This window comes from Homo sapiens, chromosome 3 (assembly GCF_000001405.40).
Source record: "Homo sapiens chromosome 3, GRCh38.p14 Primary Assembly".
NCBI lineage: Eukaryota > Metazoa > Chordata > Mammalia > Primates > Hominidae > Homo > Homo sapiens.
Genome location: NC_000003.12, coordinates 65530330 through 65546351, shown reverse-complemented (window position 1 = coordinate 65546351; position 16022 = coordinate 65530330). Strand labels below are relative to the sequence as shown.

The following is a 16022-nucleotide window of genomic DNA, read 5'->3' as shown; positions in this document are numbered from 1 at the left end:
AAAATACAGTTATCGAAATAATGACGTATTGTTTATATGCTGTATGGAATGGCCCACTGAGATACCACCTCCATGGGGGCAAGAGTTTTGTCTGTTTTGACTGCTTTTTTAGTGGTTCCTAGAATAATTGCTGAATGACAAGTAAATGAAGGAGTGAATATTGTTCAACGAGACAAAGCAAAGTATTTAACAGGGTCTATAGTTAGTGGCCATTTATGATTTTAAATGTATGTTTATATGCAATTGTGCGTGTGCATAGAAAACATTGGTTGTTTCTGGGGAGGGACTGGAAGGCTAGGGTTGGGACAGAGGGAGATTTATTTTTGTAGTTTGAGAGTGTGTGTGTGTGTGTGTGTGCGTGTGTGTGTGTGTGTGTGAGATCATACCCCATTATGCCCATGTACTAATTAAAAATAAAAGTTCAGAGGACCTGGTTCCCCTGAGTTTGGTCTTATTTTTTATTCTGCATAACCTACCCTTTCTGTGACCCGTTTACTACATACAGGCTGTTTAATTTTCTCGCCATGGCTAAGTGCCTGCAAGCTTTTGATGGGATCATCACATTTTTTTGAGGGGAAGGGTGTCTACTAGATGGAATTCCTATAAAATAAATGGTGCATCATCCTGCCTGTAGAGATTGCTCATGAGGGAGGCCTCTCGAGAAGTCTTCATGGACCTCTGACACCTTAGATCAAGCTTGGTCCTTCTTAGGAACTCTGTAGATGCTTAAGAATGAATAGATGGCTAGAATATGAGTCATCTAAGAATTTATAATTTCATCACAATAAAGGCCTGTCTGAAAGTAAGGAAGTTTTACTTCACTATGGGTACTTCCTGGCCTTTGACACACATCTTATGTACAATTCCACTATTCTGACCTCTTGTAATTAGGTCTTTTAAGGAAGTAGTCTCCAAAGTGAGAAATGACCCATGAGAATACAGGAAGAAGTCCTCAGGAGTTCCATGTATATACATTTTTAAAATGTTACCTTTTTAATATCATATATACACCACATGTTACTGGTATGCCATCTCTCTCTCTCTCTCTTTGGCTGAACCATCAAAAGTAAGTGGCTGACATTATGCCACTTCACCTTTGCCCCCATTTTCCATTTCTCAAGTTTCTTTTAAGTTACTCTATTTTGGGATAGGTGTTAAATTTTTTGCTTTCTCATGGGTTTGTCAGAAGTGACGCATTATGAGGGGATGCGTATTTTAAGAGTTGTGTCTGAAGTTTTCATATGTGTCCATTTCTAAGATTTAGGTCTTAATTTCCGTCATCTCTAACCATTTTGGTAAACTGAAACTAATGTACAAGTTTCCGTTGCAGCCCGCCCCTTTCCAAAGATATAGATCCTCCTGCACTAGATGAGATTGATATAAATGACAGTGATGGTGAAGATATTAGCAAATGGTAACATGCATGTGGCTGTTTATATTTATAAATCACACTCACATGTATTACTTAATCTACAAAATAACCCCATCAGGTTTGCATTATGTTTGTTTTCAGAAATAACCCTAATCATACTACCTGCCTCTGAATATTTCTGACAGCTTATATATTCTTTGCTATTCGGGAACTGGCCCGGTGCTATCAGTTAGGCATTGGGGTTGCTCGTGGCTTGGTGATGGATCAGAACAAAAACGAGACCCCTGGTAATCATGCCTTAACACAGACAAAACATGAAAATTGTCCAAACCACAAAAAAGACCACACATCCTCCCATTCTGGCTGGTATGAGTGACTGCTGCTTCTTTAAATATTAGAGTTGTAGCATTGCTTCCTTCTTTCTGCATGCTAGGTAAGATTTATTAGGAAACACAATCATGGAATTACCTCCATGTCTTAACAGCATCTAGTCTAGAACAAAGCCCTACTACTTTGAACCCTCCCCCAAATCACATAAAATTACCCAACACATGCACAAATCCTATAAAAGTTCTTTGCAATCTCCTCTTTCTGAGATCCCCCAGTTCCCCACAGTGTGCATTATCCCTGCTGCATTGAGTGATACGTTGACTAGCACAACTACAGGTATGTTCCTAATGGTCTTGGAAGCATTTGCTGTTTAGTTGTTTACAAACAGAAGAACTTTGCAGAAGTCATTGGGTAGTATTTTATGGTAAAATACAGCATTTTAAAATAAAGTAGTCATCATTTATTATAATTTGTAAAATATAAAAATATAAAAGGCACCAAGAATAAAAGAAAAATATGCATTAATTTTATAATCCAGTAATAATCATGGTGAATATCTGGATATATCTACTTTATATATCTGCTTCTATGTCTACTACACCTCTCCCTTTCCCCATATATACTCATATGTCATATGAGTATCTTGTCATATGAGAATAGAAAGGTGTTCTTTCATTATTTTGTCTAAAATGATTGGCTTTTCCTTTTTAAATAGCTGTGATAAACATCTTCCTGTGTTTTATTATTATTATACTTGTAAGTTCTGGGATACATGTGCAGAATGTGCAGATTTGTTACATAGGTATACACGTGCCATGGTGGTTTGCTGCACCCATCAACCCATCATCTACATTAGGTATTTCTCCAAATGCTATCCCTCTTGTACCCCCCCCCATCCCTGACAGGCCCCAGTGTGTGATGTTCCTCTCTCTGTGTCCATGTATTCTCATTGTTCAACTCCCACTTATGAGTGAGAATATGTGGTGTTTGGTTTTCTGTTTCTGTGTTAGTTTGCTGAGAATGATGGTTTCCAGCTTCATCCATGTGTCTGCAAAGGACATGAACTCATCCTTTTCTATGGCTGCATAGTATTCCATGGTATATATGTGCCACATTTTCTTTATCCAGTCTATCATTGATGGGCATTTGGTTTGGTCCCAAGTCTTTGCTATTGTGAATAGTGCTGCAATAAATATACGTGAGCCTGTGTCTTTGTAGCAGAATGATTTATAATCCTTTGGGTATATACCCAGTAATAACATTGCTGGGTCAAGTGGTATTTCTGGCTCTAGATCTTTGAGGAATTGCCACACTGTCTTCCACAATGGTTGAACTAATTTAGACTCCCACCAACAGTGTAAAAATGTTCCTGTTTGTCTACATCCTCTCCAACATCTGCTGTTTCCTGACTTTTTAATGATCGCCATTCTAACTGGCGTGAGATGGTATCTCATTGTGTGTGCTTTGCATTTCTCTAATGTCCAGTGATGATGAGCTTTTTTTCATGTTTCTTGGCCACATAAATGTCTTCTTTTGAGAAGTGTCTGTTCATATCCTTTGCCTACTTTTTGATGGGGTTGTTTGTTTTTTTTTTCTTATAAATTTGTTTAAGTTCCTTGTAGATTCTGGATATTAGCCCTTTGGCAGATGGATAGATTGCAAACATGTTCTCCCATTCTGTAGGGTGCCTGTTCACTCTGATGGTAGTTTCTTTTGCTGAGCAGAAGCTCTTTAGTTTAATTAGATCCCATTTGTCAATTTTGGCTTTTGTTGCCATTGCTTTTGGTGTTTTAGTCATGAAGTCTTTGCCCATGCTTATGTCCTGAATGATATTGCCTAGGTTTTCTTCTATGGTTTTATGGTTTTAGGTCTTATGTTTAAGTCTTTACTCCATCTCGAGTTAATTTTTTTATAACGTGTGAGGAAGGGGTCCAGTTTCAGTTTCTGCATATGGCTAGCCAGTTTTCCCAGCACCATTTATTAAATAGGGAGTCCTTTCCCCATTGTGTGTTTTTGTCAGGTTTGTCGAAGGTCATATGGTTGTAGATGTGTGGTGTTATTTCTGAGGCCTCTGTTCTGTTCCATTGGTTTATGTATCTTTTGGTACCAGTACCATGCTGTTTTGGTTACTATAGCCTTGTAGTATAGTTTGAAGTCAGGTAGTGTCATGCCTCCAGCTTTGTTCTTTTTGCTTAGGATTGCACTTTTTGGGTTCCATATGAAATTTAAAGTAGTTTTTTCTAATTCTGTGAAGAAAGTCAATGGTAGCTTGATGGGGATAGCATTGAATCTAAAACTTACTTTGAAAAGTATGGCCATTTTCACGATATTGACTCTTCCTATCCATGAGCATGGAATGTTTTTCCATTTGTTTGTGTCCTGACTTATTTCCTTGAGCAGTGGCTTGTAATTCTCCTTGAAGAGTTCCTTCACATCCCTTGTAAGTTGTATTCCTAGGTATTTTATTCTCTTAGTAGCAATTGTGAATGGGAGTTCACTCATTATTTGGCTCTCTTTGTCTATTATTGGTGTATAGGAATGCTTGTGATTTTTGCACATTGATTTTCTATCCTGAGACTTTGCTGAAGTTGCTTATCAGCTTAAGGAGATTTTGGGCTGAGAGGATGGGGTTTTCTAAATATACAATCATGTAATCTGCAGACAGGGACAATTTGACTTCTTCTTTTCCTAATTGAATACCCTTTATTTCTTTCTCCTGCCTGATTGCCCTGGCCAGAACTTCCAACACTATGTTGAATAGGAGTGGTGAGAGAGAGCATCCCTGTCTTGTTCCCATTTTCAAAGGGAATGCTTCCAGTTTTTGCCCATTCAACATGATATTTGTTGTGGGTTTGTCATAAATAGCTCTTATTATTTTGAGATACATTCCATCAGTACCTAGTTTTTTGAGAATTTTTAGTATGAAGGGGTGTAGAATTTTATCAAAGGTCTTTTCTGCAGCTGTTGAGATAATCATGTGGTTTTTGTCACTGGTTCTGTTTATGTGATAGATTACGTTTATTGATTTGCGTACGTTGAACCAGACTTGCATCCCAGGGATGAAGCTGACTTGATAGTGGTGGATAAGCTTTTTGATGTGCTGCTGGATTCGGTTTGCCAGTATTTTATTGAGGATTTCGCATCAATGTTCATCAGGGATATTCACCTGAAATTTTCTTTTTTTGTTTTGTCTCTGCCAGGTTTTGGTATCAGGATGATGCTGGCCTCATAAAATGAGTTAGGGAGGAGTCCCTCTTTTTCTATTGTGTGGAATCGTTTCAGAAGCAATGGTATCAGCTCTTCTTTGTACCTCTGTTAGAATTTGGCTGTGAATCTGTCTTGTCCTGGGCTTTTTTTGGTTAGTAGGTTATTAATTATTGCCTCAATTTCAGAACTTGTTATTGGTCTTTTCAGGGATTCGACTTCTTCCTGGTTTAGTTTTGGGAGGGTGTTTGTGTCCAGGAATTTGTCCATTTCTTCTAGATTTTCTGGTTTATTTGCGTAGAGATGTTTATAGTGTTCTCTGATGGTAGTTTATATTTCTGTGTGATCAGTGTTTTAATATATGTTCAGATTTCAGTTTTTTTCTTTAGGATAGATTTCCCTTGGAAAGAATATATCTTTTCAAACTTTTTTATGTCTTGCCTGATTATTTTTTAAAAATTGTTTTTGATACATACACCATCCAGATTTAGTAACAGTTGGGCCCTGGGGCTTGCTGCACCACGGGGAGCCCTGAATCCCTCTCTCAGCCTGGCTGCTCTTCCCAGCACATCTGCTTCCTTCCTCTCTCACAGCAGACTGGTTATTATATTTTACCAACATGGCTGCATTTGCAGTCACCATGTGGAAGAAGGGAGAGAGGCACTTACCAGTGAAGGAAGAATGATTGTGCATTGAGGATGCAACCCAGTGTGTATGAACTAAAACCTCTTTAAGGGCATACTCTGATGAATCATTACCTCTTTCTTAGCACCTGGCAAACAGCTTTGTGAAATGCTCTGTCCAATAGATAGTTTTTGAATAAATAGATAAGAAGTCCATTTTAGATGTAAAGCAACCTGCAGTATCAAAAATCCTTTTAATAAAATACAACCCACTCTCAAAACAAATGTAAAAATTGATAGCCCCCTATATTTTTAAAATGTATATTCATTCTACCATCCTGCAGGTATTTATTGAGGGTCTCTGTTTGCCAGGCACTTTTTTAGGCACTGGGAATATAGTAGTGAATTCAACCAAGCTTACATTATGGAGCATGAATATAGAAAAAAACACCCAAAATAAATATAAAATGCCAGGAAGTGATATATGCTGTTATGTAAAATAATGAATCAGGGTGAGGGGGATAGAGAATAAAGGGGTTTGATGTAATTTTAGATAGAGTAGTCCAGGAAGGCATGTATAAACTGAGAAGTCTCTCTCCTATTGGTTGTGATTACTGATCTCGAATATTTCTTTTAGCTTAGAAGTTACTGAACATAACATATAGCATAAGTTGTTATAGCATAAGTTGCTGTTGTATGTGGTTTGTGACTTTCCCTTTGAGCCCATCTTGATGTTAAGCACTTTCCATATGTTGTTTAATATTCCCATTGATCTTATGAGAAAGCTCTTAAGCCTTTGCTGTGGAAGTGAGTGTAGGGGAAGTGAGAGAGGTTACCTTACTTGCCTGAGTTCAGGTAGTAAGTGGCAGAGCTGATCCTGAAATCCAAACTTTGTTTAAAGCCCCTGGAAACCTATCATTAGCAAGGACTGAGAAGCCTAGGGTTAGTGCTCTCCCAGGTTCCTGAGGCTAAGAAGGAAAATGCACTTGTGGTGAAAACTACTGTGGTGAAAGGTTAATTAGAAAGCATTGGTATGTAAACTGTATTTATATTGACGACAGACTGCTTTTGTTTCCAGAAAGTGGGTAAAGGCACAGGCCTCTCTTCATATGCTAAATAGTTGCCACAGTCTGCTAGAGTGCCCAGGAAACCAGCTCCCTTTGTGTCTAGGAATAGTGTGGAAAGCCTGGCCAGGCTTTTGATCCAAGTATATTTCCTTGCACCCTCCTCATTGAGCACTTCTGCTTTGGCCATGATCACAAATGAGGATACAGGTTAAAAGGACACAGGCATCTTTTTTGTTTGTTCTTGGTCCCAGAGAACACGGTATCCATTTCAGATGGTTGCTTGGCAATATTGTGCAGAAGAGGTTTTCTCTTTGACAGTAGCTGATATGTGTTTCTGGTTGACAGTAGTTGGTGTGTCTTTTTGATGGTAGTTGGTATGTGTCTGTTTGACAGTAGTTGGTATGTGTGTTTGTTTGATGTAGTTGGTACATGTTTCTGGTTGACAGTAGCTGGTATTTGTTTCTGTTTGATGGTAGTTGGTATGTATGTCTGTTTGTTGGTACTTGGTGCATGTTTCTGGTTGACAGTAGTTGGTATGTGTTTCCAGTTGATGGTAGTTTGTACATGTGCCTGTTTGATGGTACTTGATATGTGTGCCTGTTTGACGGTAGTTGGTACATGTGTCTGTTTGACGGTAGTTGGTATGTGTTTCTGTTTGATGGTAGTTGCTACGTGTGTCTGTTTGATGGTAGTTGGTATGTGGTTCTGGTTGATGGTAGTTGGTATGTGTGTCTGTTTGATGGTAGTTGGTACATGTTTCTGGTTGATGGTAGTTGGTATATGTGTCTGTTTGATGGTAGTTAGTACATGTTTGTGGTTGACGGTAGTTGGTATGTGTTTCTGTTTGCCGGTGTTAGTATGTGTTTCTGGTTGACAGTAGGCAGTTGGTATGTGTGTCTGTTTGTTGGTAGTTGGTTTGTATGACTGCTTGACTATAGTTGGTATGTTTGTCTTAGTTAATAAAAGAAAAATGTTGAGGATCGAACAGAGAAACGAGTCTGCTCTGGGTCTGACTGCTGCCCTTCCTGTCCGTCTGGTGTGGATATTAATGTTGCTCTGAGGGTTAGATGAGAGCATGGCATCTAGTGGACCTTCCTGATTGAAGAGAATCACATTAGGGCTATAATTAATTTTTCAGCTCAATTACAGGCTTCTTTTGATATCCTTCATATTGTATTTGCCAGATTTCTAAGAGCTTTGGTATATTGCAGTTCAATGCCAGCCTAACTTGGTATAAATTTAACTGTAGGGAATTGATTTCTGCATAGTTACTTGTTTTAGAAAATGCTGAACACATGAGAAAAATGTTTTTGGATGACAGAGAAGGAGGTAGATAGAGATCAGTGTTTTTTATCACCACATGGAAGGATGGTGTGTATCTTTTAATCTGGCCAGAGAATATCCCCTGAGTCCATGCCACTTAAAGCATTATTCTTAGCTGTGGTATTTTGTTGTTTATATGGAGAATTTACAAGTCTTGAGGTCATTGTTTTTCTGGTTCCCAATAATGCTGTCTTCTGGTTTTATCCTTATACTCCAACCTATAAGTTAGTGGAAAAGGCAGAGGGTGTTGTAAACATAACTGTTTACATTTATTTTATTTATGTCTTTGTTTTTGTTGAGCTAGAGCTTCGCTCTTGTTGCCCAGGCTGGAGTGCATTGGTGTGATCTCAGCTCACTGCAACCTCTGCCTCCTGGGTTCAAGCGATTCTCCTGCCTCAGCCTTCAAAGTAGCTGGGATTACAGGCACCCACCACCACACTGGCTGATTTTTATTTTTTTATTAATTTTTTATTTTTTAGTAGAGACGAGGTTTCACCATGTTGGCCAGGCTGGTCTTGAACTCCTATCCTCAGGTGATCCGACCGCCTTGGCCTCTCAAAGTGTTGGGATTACAGGTGTGAGCCACCGTGTTTGATACATTTAAAAGATAATTATCTTCATAATCTTTCTCTTTAAATGTGTAATTTTCAGGGGGTTGGGGAACAGCATGAGATCCTAATTTGACTATTAAATAACAATTGTTTCCTTTGCATTCACTTAAAAAATCTAGTGATTTTTTTCAGTGGAAGGCGAAAAGTTGGGAGGTCATTTTTAATCCAGCAATGATTTCCTGATTATTGTTTTTATTGCAAGGTATACCCAAGTTCTGAAGACTCTTGTTCAGAGTCTATCCTTCTTTGCCCTGCATGACCATAACATTCCCCCACTGCCATTCTTTCCTCCTTCTCACTTATTGAACATTAAACTATGAGGAGATAAAGATGAATAAGTTACAGTTTGGGGAGAAACACATGAATAAATAACAGTGAGCCAATGTGGCAAATGCTACAAGGTGCCATAAATTATGGGGAAAATGCAAAAGGGAACACAGAGAAAGGAGTGAAAGGGAACATGGAGAAGGGAGTGCCTGCTCCTGCTTATGAATGGTATGGCTTCCACAGAAAAACGGGCTTTGTAGGATCAATAGGAGTTTCCTGGGCAGAGAAAGAAGGAAAGATCTCATAGGGAGAGGTAATAGCTTGAGCAAAGGCATGTTGGAATAAATGTGTTTGATCTATTCACGGACAGTGTATAGTGGAGTGCATTTAGAACTTAAATTCACAGAATGGATGAGGGATGATGGCAGAGGAGGTTAGACAGCGTAGGTTGGGATATATTGTAAAGGACTTGAGTTTTATGAGCCTGTGCAATCCCCCGTAACACTTCTATTTCACTTAAAATTCATTCCATTGTCATAGCCAGAAGAATTCATACTCAAACAGAAAAGAGAATTTATGTGCTTACCTAATGAAAACGTCCAAAGATAAACTACCTACGGGCATGGCTGGCTCTGGGTACCCAAACCATGTTAGCAATCTGTCCTTGTATCTGTCTTCTGCCCTCTGCTGTATTGGTGCCATTCTCAGTCTTATCTCTGGTGGGAAGAGGATTGTTCCTAGCAGTGTTAGAGTCCCATCCTTGAAGCTTAGCATCCTTCATGAAAAGTGAATTTCTTTTTCTCCTTTTTCTCAATGGTTACAACCAATGTCCCAAGATTGAATCTGGTTAGATTAACCAGGATCATATGGCCAGCCCTGAACACTTTGACTAGAGAATGGATCATGCTGATTAGCTTGCTCAGGGTCACATGCACCTCAGGAGCTGGGAACTGGTGGCCAGAAAATGGGTAATAGTGACTAGATAGACTGAAACAGTGCATTTCTAATATAAATCTCACCCTACCGTATTAGCTCCTTTGAAAAGACCCTGGAATCCTTTTTTTATTCCTTTTGCCTTTATAACTGTTGCAAAGGAGCCAGCCAGAATGCTCATTATCTTTTTTGTACAAATACCCAGGAAGGGTATGCTCTAGCAATATTTCAGGGAGAGAGATATGTATGTATCCAGGTCACTTTTTATTTTCATTCATATTATCCCATGCAGGTTTCCTGAGACCTTCCGATATGGGAAGTTCTAGAAGCTAGGAATCTATAGTATGCTAGGAGTTATTATACAAAGGTGAATCTAGGCTTCACAGAACTTGTAGCTTAGTAGGGGTGATAAGATTAGAAAAACAACAAAAATATACAGGGAAACATCAGTATATATGTATGTAACAGACACCAAATCAACAGTGTGTACTAACTTAAAGTTCAGGGGAAAACGTATAAGTGTAAATAACACAGTCCATGCCAGCTGCCTTTGCATATGGTGTGTAAAGGTCCCAAAGTGAACAGGAGTTTAGTCATGAGTTGGATTTCTCCATTTGTTTTCAGTTCCCATGTGCCCCTCATGGTGTGAGCACCTCACCAAGTGGGTGTTTATTCTAGTGTCTTACTCTATATTTTAAAAAATTCAACATGGTCCTTAAACTCAAGCCAGCTTCCTCAGCTGCTGTTTAACCAAAGAAACAGCAATGAAGGGTGATTTTGACTTTAAGCTGTCAAGAAAAAATACTGAAGTGTCATAATTAAGATAGAGGTTACCTAACTGATCTCTATTTTAAGAAATATTAATTTTCATTTTGCCAAATAAAACCTTACATTTTTTCCTTTGAATCATCCCCTTGTAGTTACATGCATAAAACAGCTTTCAGCTGAATGAGTGATGGTATTTGAATGCCATTGATAGTTTCATTCCATTAGAAGAGAAAGAAACTGAACATTTGGATTGCTTTTTAGATTTGAAAGAGTACGGTGTTCATTGTTTTCCTGGTGTGAAGCATGCCTGAATTCTTACAGAAATTCACTGAGTCCTTGTTCCCTGTTCTTTTTCTTGAACACAAACTTTACTCGTAGAAAATGGGTAGGGTTGAATCTATACAGCTTCCTTCTTCCTCTTCCTGTTGCTATCTCTGGCTTATTGACTGGAGTCAACAGCTTATTTCAGAGCTGCAAGAGACAAGGCATCTCATTTAGTTCACCTGCCTTCTTTTAGAGACAAGGAGAGTGAGGTTGTTAAGCTTCTTCAAAGTTAACAATAATCTCTTGAAGCACATCTTCCCTTTGAAGAGCTATTCCTGCACCAGGCTTTTAGGAAAAAGGAAAATTGTTTTAATGAGCTGGTATTAGAACTCTCCACTATCATCAGACTTCCTTTTCCTCTTTCATATCTTTTTCAAATTCATGGTAAGGAGTGTCAGTAGAGTCCCTTGGGGAACAAGAACAACACCACCAAGAAGGAGCTGACCTGGGCTGACTTCTACCAGCCGTGTTGGATTCTGCCAGAGTTATTTTTGTCCTTGGCAGTCTTCTTCCTTCCTAATTGCTGGGCCATATGGTGCCTTGTCCCCCACATGGAGAGTTGGCACTTCCCCTCCATTCAATCTCTATCCTTTCTGTTGCACAAATTACCTGCCATGGTGATGGGGTTGAACAAACTCACCCCGTAGAGGCTCGGCAGCATCCATGCCTTAGAAATCAGAGCTGAAACCTCCTACTGATGCCCTGGATTGGTGGCCAAGAATGAAAAAACTGAACAAGAAATAGTGAAATGGGATTGAATTTGGAGGCAGCCAGACCTGGGTTCAAATCTTGGTGCTCTCTTGCCATCATCGTCAGTGTTCTCACTGACATCACAGTCAATGTGAATTGAGTGCTTACTGTATGTGTATGCCAGGCACTGTGGTCTCACTTCCTGATCTTGTTTGTTTGTCATGTTAGCTCTCAGCGAACTGTGGCATGGAATGGTTATGCAGACACTTGCCCAAGTAACATGGCTTGGGCTAGTTTCAAACTCTGATCTCTCTCTCTTTCCAAATCCCACACTCTTTTTTTCTTTTTTAGAGACAGGGTCTCACTCTCTCACCGAGGCTGGAGTGCAGCAGTATATTCACAGCTCACTGCAGCCTTGAACTCCTGGGCTCAGATAATCCTCCACCTCGGCCTCCTGAGTATCTGGGACTACCGGTGTGCACCACTACGCCTGGCTGATTTTCATTTATTTATTTATTTTTGTAGAGATGAGGTTTTGCCATCTTGCCCAGGCTGGTCCCAAATTCCTGGACTCAAATGATCCTACCACCTTGGCCTCCTAAAGTGCTGGGATTACAGGCATGAGCCCTGCACTTATGGTATGTGTATAATTTGGAAATAGGACTGCCAGTGATCATGCTGTAGAAACACACACACACAAACATACAACAAACATTTATTCTCTCACCAGGTTTCTAAGGGTCAGGAATCCAGGAACAGGAATCCATAATCTGGCTTAGGTAGTTCTGGGTAGTTCTCTGTCTCACAAGCTTGCAATCAAGCTGTCAGGCTTCAGTCATCTCCAGTCTTGAGTATGGCCAGAGAATCCACCTCTAAGCTAGTGCTTGTGCTTTTTATAAAACATTCTGAGTCTAGAATTTACATAAGCCATATAAGGTTTCATGAATGATCTTACCTAGTAGTGGAGAATTTTGGATTGGATGGATGTAATATTTGGGATGATTTCATGAGACTTTGCAGGTTGAATTTTTAAAGCCTCCACCAAGAAATGGTCTTAACCACATGGATTCTAATGCTCAGAGAATGTTTTGATAGAGGAGATCTTTTAGAAGCTGCCTCATTGGGGGAATATTTGGTCTTGTTAAAAGAACTCTGTATATAGCTTTCTACATGGTTTTGGTAGAATTCTACATGTCACTTTCCTCAGAGGGTAGTGAAAGTCTTTGAATTCTAGAAAGTGATTTTGAGGCGATCATGGTACACCGATGGAATTTTTCAATAATTACGTATTTAATGACCTTTTGAAACTGTATTTTGGAAGTTGTCAATATTTTGTGATAGTCACAACACTAAAGTAATGATTGCAGTGTGTTTAAGAAATGGATCCAAAAATGACAATTACGGGTACAGTCTGAGTTTCTTCCTAAGTAAACACAACGCAAAAGTTACTGTCAGCTTATCTATTCCTTCAGTATTTGATTCTGTGATGAGAAGAGCAGATTGCAGTGTTACTATGAAGCCCCTGGGGTCAGTGACCACACCTCCTTTGGTCTTTATCTCTCCAGTGTCTACCACAGTGTCTCCACCCAATAAGTGCTCCGTAAATGTTGGACTGAGTTAAATCTACTAATTTGAGATGAGAAGGAAAACCACCCAGGATTTGGAAGAAACACAAAGCCAGGTCATTCAACATACCATAAGTAAGCCAGTCAAAAAATAGGGATTGCATTCTTTTTGCAATCCAGGAGCTGTTCTAAGTGTGCGGGGCTACAGTGGATGCCCCCCAAAAGTTTATCTTTAGGTGGAAGGAGGCAGACATTTACAAAGTAGATAAAGAATTCCTGTGCTATCACATGCTGCAAACAAGAAAGCATAGAGTCACGTGGTATAGATCAGGAGAGAGAGACGGTCCTGCTAAACCAGCGACACCCCTAACGTTGTGCCATTTGAGGGGAGACTTGACCGGTGAGAAGGAGGCAGCCACACATGGATCCATGGGGAAAATTGCTCTGCAAAGAAAAGGGGAATGATCATAAATTAAAGCAGCTTACAGGATAGGAGTGCATTGTATGTTTCTTCTTCTCCAAGGTAAGTAACCTAGAGCTGATGATGCAGCTTGATGATCACCTGGACCCAGATTCCTTCTGTAGTTTTGCCTTTCCCTCCACAGATTTTGGCTCCTTCTCTCTTGTTAATTGCATTTTTCCAAACACACGCTCCAAGCTTGGGCTGCTGTTTTTGCACTGTAGCCAGTCTGACCCAGAAAGAGCAAAAGAGAGATGTGCCTTCTCTATTTAAGGTCTTTTCCTGAAAGTTACACATACTTCTGCTTAGATCCCATTGATAGAATGTAATTGTTTGGTTATGTCTAGCTGCCGGTAGGCCACATATGTAGTCTGTATTCCAGGGCATCATGTGGCCCTGACAAATTGAGTGTTCGAAAGCACGGGAGAATGAATGTTGGAGATTAAGTCGCAGTCCATGCCACAAACAGCAAGTGCAAAAGCTTTGGCATGCTCAAAGCCATTGTGTCTTAGTGAAGAGAACAAAAGCAGATGAGGTCAGAGAAGAAAGCAGGAGTGAGATCATAGAGAATTTTTTAGGCCATTATTAAGAGTTTTTCAAAAAAATTGCTCCCAATAGGAAATGATTGGAACGTTGAATAGAAACCATTGGAGTAAAAGATAAGATGATTTGGTTTAGGATTTAGAAAGTTTTCTCTAACTATTACAGAAAATGAATCCTAGAAGGAGAAGGCTGGGAACAGAGATATGATTGGAACTGTACGGATTTATAGGAATTGATGATGGTGGTGGGGTTATACTAGAGTTGTTGGCAGCTGAGAGAGTGAGAAGTGGTCAGGTTTAGAATACATGTGGGATGTAAGTGCAGGGCTAAGGGAAAATAATAATAGTGATGGCTAATTCTTTATTGAAAACTTACAATGAGAAGTGGACCATTTGAAGCACTTTAGTGTATTAACTCACTCTTTTAATCTGTATAATAACTGTGTGCTATAGGTTCTATTTATTCTCATTTTATGGATGGGGAAACTGAAATATTGGAAAGTCAGGGAACTGGCCTGAGGTCACTTAGCTGGAAACTGGAAGAGCCATGACTCAAACCCAGCAGTCTGGCCCCAAGGCGTGTATGTTCTTAATGCTATTTTATTCCACTTGAGGGTGATGCCCTAAGTGCTTCATCTGAGCAATTGTTTGGACAGTGGTTCATTTACAAAGATGGATAGGGAATTGGAGCCAGAGAGCAAACCTATAGTAGTTCAGTTTGAGAATGTTAATCTTATTATTACTAGAAATAAGTATTATACTGTAAATAATAATTGTGTGTTATAACTATTATTTTAAATAAATATTATAACTTTAAATTTTGAAATAGTTTGACTCATATAAAGTTGCAAGCATAGTAGAGTTCCTGTGTACCCTTCACCCGAGTTCCCCTGACGATAATGTATTAGGCATGCACTGTATTAATTCTAAGCTGTCTCTTACGGGTCTAAGTGGAGATTTCATGTAGGCAGTTGGATGATAGGCAAGTCTGTTGCTCAGATGACAACCCTAGCTATAAATTTGAGATACAATTTGAGATCCATTAGTATATTGATATAAAGCTGTAGGTCTGGATTGGAGCATTTGGGGTTGATTTTTTTCAGATTTTTTTTTTGTGTCCTGAGAGAATTTAATGTAAAAAAAGAGATTTTGCTTATGCTAGGAACCTACTTAATTAATGGTAAGCAGTACCATTAATCTGTGGGCCAGGCACTTTGTTAAGCATTACACATGACTTATGTCATTTAATTCTCATAGCAACTTCAAAGCATGGGGATTATTGTCCTTATTTTTCAGAGATGCAAATAGAAATTTATGGGAACTACGAATAATAACAGAGCCAATGCGGATTCCAACACTGGGCTGTTTTTCTCCAAACCCCACCCCTCCTCTTTCTCTCTCTCCATATATATATATATGTGTGTGTGTGTGTGTATATATATATATATACGTGTATATATATGTGTGTATATATATATATACGTGTATATATATGTGTGTATATATATATATATACGTGTATATATATGTGCATATATATATACGTGTGTATATATATACACGTGTATATGTGTATATATATACACGTATATATATATGTATATATATATACACACACACACACACACACACACACACACACACACACCACACACACATACGTATGTGTCTTGCTGTGTTGCCCAGGCTGGAGTCGTGTGCAATCTTGGCTCATTGCAACCTCTGCCTCCTGGGCTGAAGCAATCCTCCCACCTCAGTCTCTCCAGTAGCAGCTGGAACTACAGGCACACACCACCACACCCGGGTAATTTTGGTATTTTTTGTAGAGACGGGGTCTCATTACATTGCCCAGGCTAGTCTAGAACTCCTGGGCTCAAGCAATACACCTACCTCAGCCTCTCCAAACCTATATTTTTAGCCACTGTGCTATATGGTTCTGGAGG

At 39.3% G+C, this 16022-nt stretch overlaps 1 protein-coding gene across 6 annotated transcripts in view, besides 1 other annotated feature; it reads left to right on the top strand.

The window, feature by feature from the left end:
* The window catches only part of MAGI1 (membrane associated guanylate kinase, WW and PDZ domain containing 1), a 685393-nt gene that overhangs the window by 492567 nt on the left and 176804 nt on the right, over window positions 1–16022 (top strand). The gene's annotated exons all lie outside the window — the stretch shown is intronic.
* Window positions 6146–7054: an enhancer, noted in NCBI's record as "OCT4-NANOG-H3K27ac-H3K4me1 hESC enhancer chr3:65524973-65525881 (GRCh37/hg19 assembly coordinates)". NCBI's record gives its function as "activates a minimal SCP1, AML or CMV promoter by ChIP-STARR-seq in naive and primed H9 embryonic stem cells {active_cell/tissue: H9 hESC(naive and primed)}" and the evidence as "EXISTENCE:reporter gene assay evidence [ECO:0000049][PMID:30033119]".